The sequence below is a fragment of the Homo sapiens genome, chromosome 2 (genome assembly GCF_000001405.40).
Source record: "Homo sapiens chromosome 2, GRCh38.p14 Primary Assembly".
Classification (NCBI taxonomy): Eukaryota; Metazoa; Chordata; class Mammalia; order Primates; family Hominidae; genus Homo; species Homo sapiens.
In genome coordinates, this window is record NC_000002.12 from 70,931,246 (window position 1) to 70,940,296 (window position 9,051).

At 56.4% G+C, this 9,051-nt stretch overlaps 2 protein-coding genes across 2 annotated transcripts in view, besides 2 other annotated features; both read left to right on the forward strand.

Annotated features, from left to right (window-relative positions):
• The window catches only part of VAX2 (ventral anterior homeobox 2), a 32,871-nt gene extending 30,670 nt beyond the window's left edge, over positions 1-2,201 (forward strand). Inside the window, exon 3 of the mRNA NM_012476.3 lies at positions 1,522-2,201. Within this exon, the coding sequence (NP_036608.1) occupies positions 1,522-1,959 (438 nt within the window). The 3' untranslated portion in view covers positions 1,960-2,201. The remainder of the gene's footprint in view (positions 1-1,521) is intronic.
• Positions 4,655-9,051, forward strand: part of ATP6V1B1 (ATPase H+ transporting V1 subunit B1) — a 29,532-nt gene continuing 25,135 nt past the window's right edge. Inside the window, exon 1 of the mRNA NM_001692.4 lies at positions 4,655-4,827. Within this exon, the coding sequence (NP_001683.2) occupies positions 4,710-4,827 (118 nt within the window). The 5' untranslated portion in view covers positions 4,655-4,709. The remainder of the gene's footprint in view (positions 4,828-9,051) is intronic.
• Positions 7,259-8,099: an enhancer, noted in NCBI's record as "H3K27ac-H3K4me1 hESC enhancer chr2:71165634-71166474 (GRCh37/hg19 assembly coordinates)". NCBI's record gives its function as "activates a minimal SCP1, AML or CMV promoter by ChIP-STARR-seq in naive and primed H9 embryonic stem cells {active_cell/tissue: H9 hESC(naive and primed)}" and the evidence as "EXISTENCE:reporter gene assay evidence [ECO:0000049][PMID:30033119]".
• Positions 8,100-8,939: an enhancer, noted in NCBI's record as "H3K27ac-H3K4me1 hESC enhancer chr2:71166475-71167314 (GRCh37/hg19 assembly coordinates)". NCBI's record gives its function as "activates a minimal SCP1, AML or CMV promoter by ChIP-STARR-seq in naive and primed H9 embryonic stem cells {active_cell/tissue: H9 hESC(naive and primed)}" and the evidence as "EXISTENCE:reporter gene assay evidence [ECO:0000049][PMID:30033119]".

Below are 9,051 nucleotides of genomic sequence, written 5' to 3' on the forward strand. Positions count from 1 at the left end.
GGCCCTGAAAAAGACCTCTTCCATGATTCTGGTGACTTTCTTCAGACTGTGGCACCTCTTTGTCCTCAGCTTTGAATGTGTGGCCAACAGAAGTCCCCCTCAACAACCTGCCACATCCAGTCACACTTGGTGTCACATTGAGAAACTTGGCCTTTATAGGTGATGGGGTAGGAGGGTGCTGCTAAAAACTTCAAACCGGGCAATGGCCAGATTGGGTTAGAAAGAGCTCCCTCCAAAGGCAGCGTGGCGGCCAGCATGGATGCAGAGACCTCACCATCCCCAGACAGGCATCTGGCCCCTCCTCTGGTCATGCCCCTCCCTACGGAATGAGGACTCTGCAAAGCCAAGGGGTCTCGCCTGCCAGAAGCCTGTGCCCACCTTTGAGACCACCCATCCCTGCCAACAAAGTGTCCAGTTTCAGAATTCCCCGCCAAATGGCCCTGAGCCACATCCGGCACCTGCCTGGGCCTCTCCAGGGTCAGTCTTCCCAAGGGCAGACCACAGACATTATTCAGCACTCCAGGCCCAAGAAGCGGCCAATGGGGGGCTATTTGCAGACTGTGAACAGGCTGGGGCAGCCACACACGTGTGGGTCAGAGCCAGGGTGGGCCATGAGCCAGAGGCTTCCATTTTTTCTCTTGCCCCAGCCCTCTAGATGTTACAGTTTAGACCTGGGGCAGAGACACCTTTAAAACACTGGCTTCTTCACCTTGGAATCACCTGGTGAGCTTTAAAAACTACTAAAGTCTGGGTCCCAGGTTCCCCCGTTCTGAGTTTATTGGTCCAAGGTGAGAAGTGAGTTAGGGGCTTAAAGCTCCCCAGGTTCTCATGGGCAGCCAGGGTCGAGAGGTGCTGCTGTAGAGACAATGCCACGGTCCAGGTCAGAGAGAACAAAGGGAGAGAGGAGGGTCTGTTCTAGGCAGCTGGGAGACAGGCTCCTGCATGAGTGAGTGGAGGCAGCCATGATGGAAGAGGGAGCGTGGGAAGCCTCTGTTTGGAGGACAGAGCTGCACATGTGGGGTTTGGGGTGTTTTTTGAGATATCCATGGGGAGATGTCTAGCAGGCAGGTGGATACATGGCCTGGATCTCAGTTCAGATCTCTGGGCCTGAGGTAGAGTTGGAATTACCAGCACATAAATGGTGGCTGAGGCTGTGAACTTGACTTTGAGCCAAGGGCATGTGGGCCAAGAGGAGAACATCAGTTGTACTCCCAAACTCCATTCTCTGTCTGTCGATCCATTCCTCCATCCTAGGCCAGAGTCAGTTTAGTAGTAGAGGGGCCTCCATAATTTGGGGGACCAGAGTCCCTAATCAGTTCGCCTACAGCAGGATGGTTGTGGGGAGACCTTAACAACAATCTGCTCTTCTTTCCCTCTTGCTCCACCCTCACACCCCACCCCCACCCCCATCCACCACCTGCCCCAACCCCATGCCCTTCCTCTCCTTTCCTCCTCCCACCTGCCCCCACTTTGCTTTGCCTGTCCCATCTCCCTCCTTGACACCCCCTCCCCCACCCCAAGGTGAAGGTCTGGTTCCAGAACCGCCGCACCAAGCAGAAGAAAGACCAGAGCAGAGACCTGGAGAAGCGGGCGTCCTCCTCAGCCTCCGAGGCCTTTGCCACCTCCAACATTCTGCGGCTGCTGGAGCAGGGCCGGCTGCTCTCTGTGCCCAGGGCCCCTAGCCTCCTGGCGCTGACCCCTAGCCTGCCAGGCCTACCTGCCAGCCACAGGGGCACCTCCTTAGGTGACCCCAGGAACTCCTCCCCACGCCTCAACCCGCTGTCCTCGGCCTCAGCGTCCCCCCCACTGCCGCCCCCTCTGCCAGCTGTCTGCTTTTCCTCGGCCCCGCTCCTGGATCTGCCTGCCGGCTACGAACTGGGTTCCTCGGCCTTCGAGCCATACAGCTGGCTAGAACGGAAAGTGGGCAGCGCCAGCAGCTGCAAGAAAGCTAACACTTAAGACTCCCACCCTGTGACACTGAGTCCCGAGCACAGCACCTTCCCAGTCTCCTGTGCCCCAGCGGACAGCACTGAGCAGGCCCCGGAGAGGAGGGGCTGCAGCCACACACTCTTCCCCACCTGCCCCCCAGCTCAGAGACTCGTGACCAAATGGCCTTGGTCCCGCAGCTTGTGTGCGTGAGTGCAGTGTGAGTGTGTGTGTCTCTCACTGAAATAAAAGGAAAACAATGACAAGAAGGGAAATGGTGCCCACAGCACAACTACTTACCCCTCAATCCCTTCTATCCCTCTTGTCACTGGAAGGGAAAATGGGCTTAGAGTCAGAGGGACCTCAGATGGGAGAGGGCAGAAACTGGGATTCTGGGGGTCAGGGGACTCACATGTGTCGGTCAGCAGGCACCTGATTCCCACTCAATAGAAGCCCATGGCACCAACACGAATTCTTTGGTTAAATGTTGCCCTTTACAAGCTCTCTTTCAAACATAAAAATACTTGAGAGAGGGAAACATTGTCACCTTGAAGAGGGTGAATGGTGAAAGGGGAGACCAGGTTGAGAGAGAGGGAGAGAGAGCATCAAAGCTAAACACAAGCAAGAGTCCAGATGTTTAGAGACGGCCTACCCATCACAAACTGCAACATGAAACCCTTTAAAATATCTATACACAGCCTGGCCAACATGGGGAAACTCCATCTCTACTCAAAATACAAAAATTAGCTGGGCATGGTGGCGGGCGCCTGTAATCTCAGCCACTCAGGAGGCTGAAGCAGGAGAATCGCTTGAACCCAGGAGGTGGAGGCTGCAGTGAGCCAAGATCATGCCTCTGCATTTCAGCCTGACAACAGAGGGAGACTCTGACTCAAAAAAAAAAAAAAATATATATATATATATACACACACACACACACACACACACACATACATATTATATATATTTCATATTGCTCAAACAATATAAATTTTTTTAAAGTTAAATAAGAGTCTTGCTCAAGACTCTTTTATTTAACTTTTTATTTTGCAGTAATTATAGATTTACAGGAAGCTGCAGAGATAGGACAGAGAAGTTCCTTCCATTGGCAGGAACTCAATAGTATGAGACAGATAGGCTTCATCTTCCCTAACTATAGTACAATATCAAAACTAGGAAATTGGCATTGGTACCGTGTGTGTGCATAGTGCCATGTCATTTTATAGATTCATGGACTCACTGCTGCAATCCAGATGCAGACCTGTTCCATCACCACAGAGATCTTCCTCATGCTGCTCCTTGATGGTCACACCCACCCCCGCCCTCCACAGGAGAGTTCTTTGAAAGGATGGGCATTAGGAACCAGAGACCTGAAATGGGTCCTCAGGAGGGAGGATGCGGGGTAAGATTTTGACTCTGTGAAGAGAAATAACAAGCACAGTCTCCTCCAGTCTGCTCTGAGAAACATAGTAGCTGCTGCTTTGGTTTCAAATTGGCTGTCCTGAGTCACCTGGAGTGGGTGCTTGGGGACAGTGATCCCTAGGCAAATGTACTTCTGCCGTTCCCTCTGCTCAGTGGTATGGTTTGGGGAGGAGCTTAGAAATGCAGAAATCCTGAGCCTAGAATGAGGCATGGGGGTGACTAGAAGACCTTGGGTTGGGCAGGTCCAGCTACCACCCAGGGTCCACCCTGCCTTGCCCAGAGGAACTGTACCACACTCCACTCACCAGGAGAAACCACAACTCTTAGTTTCATGACATGAAGAGAGAGTTCTTGGGAAGCAGTGGTGAGGTCTTGGGTGGAACCCAGGCCAGGCTGTGCACATAGTTTGATTTATAACTCCAGGTATTTAGTTATACAATACAGGGACCTCCATTTTACTTTCTGACCTGGGCTGGAAAGGTCAGGGCAGGCCTGCTGTATAGAAATCTGGAGGTGAATGTGAGAAGATGAGACACGGTTCTATGATCAGATGGAGAGAGACCAGCCCTCATTCTCAAGAACTCTCAATAGTATGAGACAGACAGGCTTCAGGAGACCCAGGTCTGTGGGTTGAGACACAGGCTCAGCTTTTGGGGGCTCACAGCCCAGTGGCAGGGACAAGAGAGGCCTCTCCTAAAGGGCATGACTTAGGAAAGAGGCTAGATGTGTAGTAAATCTTGGCTGCTAGAGAATCCAGAGAAGGCTTCATGTAGGAGATGGCACTGAGGCTGACCAGGAAATAATTCTCTACAGATGTTCAAAAAGATGACGATGGAATTGTCAGGGGGCAGAAGTATCCAGGTATAGTCAGGGCAAGGAGTGCAGGGTAAGGTCAGGTTGCGAGAACAGTGAAGAAAGGGCAGCCTGCCAGAAGTTGGGTGTGGAGAGACCAGAAAGAGCTGTGGTGAGGGACGAGTGTGGGAATGTTGACAGCACCTGATGGTCCAGGGGAGGAATTGAATTCATACAGTTTGGGGTTGGCGGGGAGGAACCGCCTAGCACAGAAGAAGGAAAAAGCCAGCCCTCCCCTCTTCCCTTCTCCCTCCACATCCTCCAGCTCTCAGGTGACGGGGGCCCCTCCCAGACCTGCACAGCTTGGTGTGGGGAAAGCTTGGGAGCCAGAGCCCCAGGCTTCCTTGTTTACTGTCAACCTAGAGGAGGAGGAGAGGGAGGGGAGGGGGAGAGGGGAGGGGTGGCTGCAGGGGAAGGCTGAGCAGCTCTCTCCAGCTCCAGCTGGACCTGAAGTCTCAGAGCTGCCACCAGCAGCAGGCTCAGACACTGGGCTCCCAGCTGGGGACTGCTCCATGGCCATGGAGATAGACAGCAGGCCTGGGGGGCTCCCCGGCAGTAGCTGCAACCTAGGTGCAGCCCGAGAACACATGCAGGCGGTCACCCGAAACTACATCACCCACCCCCGTGTCAGTGAGTAGCCCCTCCACCGTGACGGGTGAGGTCAGGGTGGGGAGCTGGGGTGGGCTGCCAGGTTCCCGGGCCCCGCTTCTTGCCTCAGAAAAGGAGGAGGACCCAAGACCTGGGGAGACCTGGAGGGCTCTCTGTCCAGCAGAGTGACGCAGTGGGGCCACCTGGACCAGAGGCCACCTCTGCAGGTGAAGGGTTGCAGGTCCCCAGCCCAGCCCACCCCAGAAGAGAGGGCTGGGGAGTAGCTGTCATCAGCCCAATCCTGCTGTAACACCCGAAGTCCAGAGATAGCTTCCAGTTGCCCCTGAGAGTGGGGTGTGCTGTGCACCTGCTCTTGTGTAAACGTGCCTGTGTGAGGAGTGTGCACCCAAGCACTCAGAGTCAGGCGGGGTGTGATTAAGTGTACTTGGAGTGGTGTGTGTGGCAGTGCAGAGTGTCAGCGCTCTCAGCCTGAGGAAATAGGTGCCCCGTGTGCGTCACATCAATGGGTGCATGTCGTATGTGTGTTCTGAGGAGGGTGCCTGTGTGCATAAGCAGGTAGGAGCATGTGCCTAGGGGGTGCTCCCACCTTCACTTGGGGTAAGGAAATGTGTGACTGCATGCTTATGCACTCAGGGCAAAGGTGTGTGTGTGTGCACTTAGGTGTGATGTACGTGTGTGCATGTGCACTCATGGAGAGAACACTTGTGTATGTGTTCTGGCAGTGTCACATATCTGAGTATGGTGAGTGTGTGTACAGCTGGGATAAGAATGCGTATCCAGGTGTGGGGCATGGAAGTGTCTACAGGTGCTGGGATGTACCCTTGTCAATTTCAGAGGGGAGGCCCTACTTGTGGCTCCTGTGCCTGTCCTGCAAGGGTGGCCCAGATGTCTGGGGCAAGGTCCAGAGGACCAAAGGGAACCCCTGCATCTCCTTGTCCAAGGTCACTCTCCCTGGCCTGGTGAATTCTCAGGCCGCCCTGCTCACTGGAGTAAACCAGCATGGCCCGCCACAGCTATGCAAAGCCAGAGGCTCACTGGAGTAAACCAGCATGGCCCGCCACAGCTATGCAGAGCCAGAGGCTCACTGGAGTAAACCAGCATGGCCCGCCACAGCTATGCAGAGCCAGAGGCTCCTAACAGGGAGTGTGGTGTGAGGGGAAGTGAGCCTGATGCAGCCACCCCACCTCCCTCTGTTCCTCTGTTGCTATCCAGGCCAGGAGAGGAGGTGGAGTGAACTCAGAGGGTAGCTGAGGGGTGAAATCAGAGTAAAGGGGCCCGGGGGCGCATGGGAGGAGAGCCCTGGGGTGTGGGGCACCTCCTGAGGCCTGAGGCAGGTGCTGAGGGTGGAGCACATTCCAGCTAAGAAGAAATGGTGAGAATGGGGTGGGTCAGATTTCTCAAGCAAGGCCTGTAGGCCCTGCCCCATGGAGCTCGGGGGAGGATAGGAGGTCCGGATACTCCCTAGGCCAAAGCTAGGGTCACCAAGGCCCAGAAATATGCAGTGACTGGGCCCCCTTGGGTCCAGAGCCCAGGCCTGGAGCCCTGAGCTGGCATGTGTGACTCTTGCCAGTCTGTTGTGATGAGCCCCACTCCCTGCAGGCCGTCCCTCCTCCCTGCAGGCACCCGGGAGTTGCTGGGTGCTGAGTGTGGTGTGTGATCTGCACCTTCATGCTCTGCTTTCCTTCTTCCTGGAAAGTGCCCCCACCTCCTGATACCCAGGGACCCTATAGGTACCATCTAACCCCACACTCCTCTGGGCAGGTTGGCCCAAGCCTGGAGCCACCTCCAGCCAGCTCTTTCCCACCCAGCCCCTTATGTATAGTCAACATGCCCTGGAGGTTCTGACCCAGGCTGGAACCCAGGGATGGCTGTGCCCGCCCCCCATGTTTGCATGCTTCCCTCGATGCTGGCTCTATATGGCCTCCACCCAGGAGAATGTGTTCACACCAAACAACCCAACAGTGGACCCAGAGCAAAGGTCAGTGCAGGGGAGCCCCTCTAGGCTCTGCTCCCTGCCAGCGCCTTTACTTTTGCTGCCTATCAAGTATCCTCACAGGATGCACCGGGCCAGCCTCAGCCCAGCCCAGATGCCCTCCCACCCCCAGGGGAAGGCTGGGATTCCTTGGTGTGTCCCTTCATCCACAGTGTCTCCCAATCCCCTCCCCGCCTCACTCACTTCCTCCTCAGGCTCTGGGAGTGGGAGGGATGAGGGGGGTGGTTCTCCCTGGGGCCTGTGGACAGGCGCAGGGCTGGCAAGGGTTTGGAAATTTAGGGCTGCACCCTCAGTACGCCAGAGGCAGGGCCACTCTGTCCCTCTCCACCTGTCTCCTCCCCAGCCTGGCCTCCTACCCTGGGTCTGTAAGCACTCCCAGACAGGAGAACTCTGGGAGAAAAGCTGGGGGTGCCTAAGGGCAGGGAGGCCCCAGTGCTCGCTGGGCCACGGTGGAGGTGAGTCCAGGTGACTTAGGCATTCCCCTCCCCCGGGGGAGGTGGGCTAAAGAGGCCTGAGACTTTAAGGCTGATTTCACTGCAGTGGCTGAGAGAGGATTGGCTAGAAAGGAGGAGACACTAGAAAGAGTGGAGGCAGCCTGGGGAGCTGACCCTGCCAACATCTACCTTGGGAAAGAAGGGTCCCCTGTGCCTCCCGTGGAGCTAGAATGGTTCCCCAAGGGCCTTGGCTCCCGGCTGGGGAGGAGGTATCCTGGAGCTTCATCTGTTTGGGCAGAAGATGTTGGGCTTGGAGGGTGGAGGTGCCCAGCAGGAGCAAAGGTCAGGAAGGACAAGCTGGCAGCCTGGTTGGAGGGATGAAGCCAGGTCAGATCCCTGAAGATCCCCCAGGAGCTTGAGTGCCAAACCACTGTCTTTGCCTCCCCACCTCGGTTTCCTCAACTGGAAGGGGAAGGAGTTACACGGAGAGAGTCCCAACAAGCAGGGTCTTGGGCTGAAGAGCCCTCAGCTTCCAGCCCCTGCCCTCCCTCCTCTAATCCCTCCAGCGGGATCAGGGAGGAGGTGCGGGACCTGCTGCCCCGGGCTTGCCCCCATCCCGGCCTCACGCATGGGCGCCTGTCTCAGCCCTCTCCCAGGACGCTGCAGGTGTGGCTGGGCCAGCGCTAATTAGTGGGCCGCGCGGGGGCCCCGCTGAGCCTTTGACAGAAAAGGCGGTAGGGAGGTGGGGGCAGGGAGGCGCTCCACCAGCCAGAAGTCCGGAGCGCAACCCAAAGTGTCAGCTAAGACAATGGAGAGGGGGTGGGCCGGGCAGCTGGAGGGAGTGTCTGCAAAGTCTCTGGAAGGCCCATGGAAGGAGCGCCCTTTGGGTCTTCTGATCCAGCCCTCTGCCTGTGGCAATGCACCCGCTTCCCTCTCCAGGGTCAAGGCGAACATCCCAGGGTTGCAGAGTGGGCCATAATCGCTGAGCGCTGCAGGATACCGTCTTGAACTGTGGTGCGTCCTGCCAGAAACTAGCCCACTTTCTGGGCCTCGTTTTGCCACTCCATGCAAGGGACACACGGAGGTAGGGGCGGCAGTGTACAAACAAAAGGACCGGCTTGCAGTCAAGGACACCTCTGTTGCTCAGCCCCCATTTTGGCTGTGTCCAAACCAAACAGCCTAGAAGAAAAGATCAGGCTGGCTTAACAGGGGAGAGGCAGAGCTCTAAGACATCTGACGGGAGAGACATCCCTCTAGGGTCCCAGTCTGTAGTACCGTGGGACAGCAGTGGGGAGAGGACCCAGTGGGCTGCAGTAGTCAGTCAAGGGCAAGGCCTTGAAGGATGGGCATAGTCCAATGCTGAACAGAAACAGCCGCCTAAGTGGATTATCTGCAATGATGGGTCCAGGCCATGAAGCGATGTGTTCACCCAGAGCCAGGCCTGGAGGCTGCGAGAAGCCCAGGAAGGCAACTCACAGCTGAGGCTGATGTGCTAAGATGTTGAGCTTCGATATCTCACCCCGGTCACCCGAGCGGCCTGGCCGGGGAAGGCATCTGACTCCCAGAGGACCTGCAGCAAGCACTTTGCAGCTGCCTCTAGGCCCCTTCCAGCCCAGCCCTTCCTCCTGAGGGAAGGGCTGTGTGGATCCCCTAATCCTCTGTCCCCCACTCTGCTGCTGCCCCCACTCCCAGGTGGAGTTGCTGGATGTCAGGGCTAATGGGGATTCTACATGACAGGGGCTGTGAAGTGGGGGAGCAGCTGTGAAGGAAGGGAGGAAGTTGAAAGACTTGTCTCCTGAGGCAGTGGAATTAGAAATG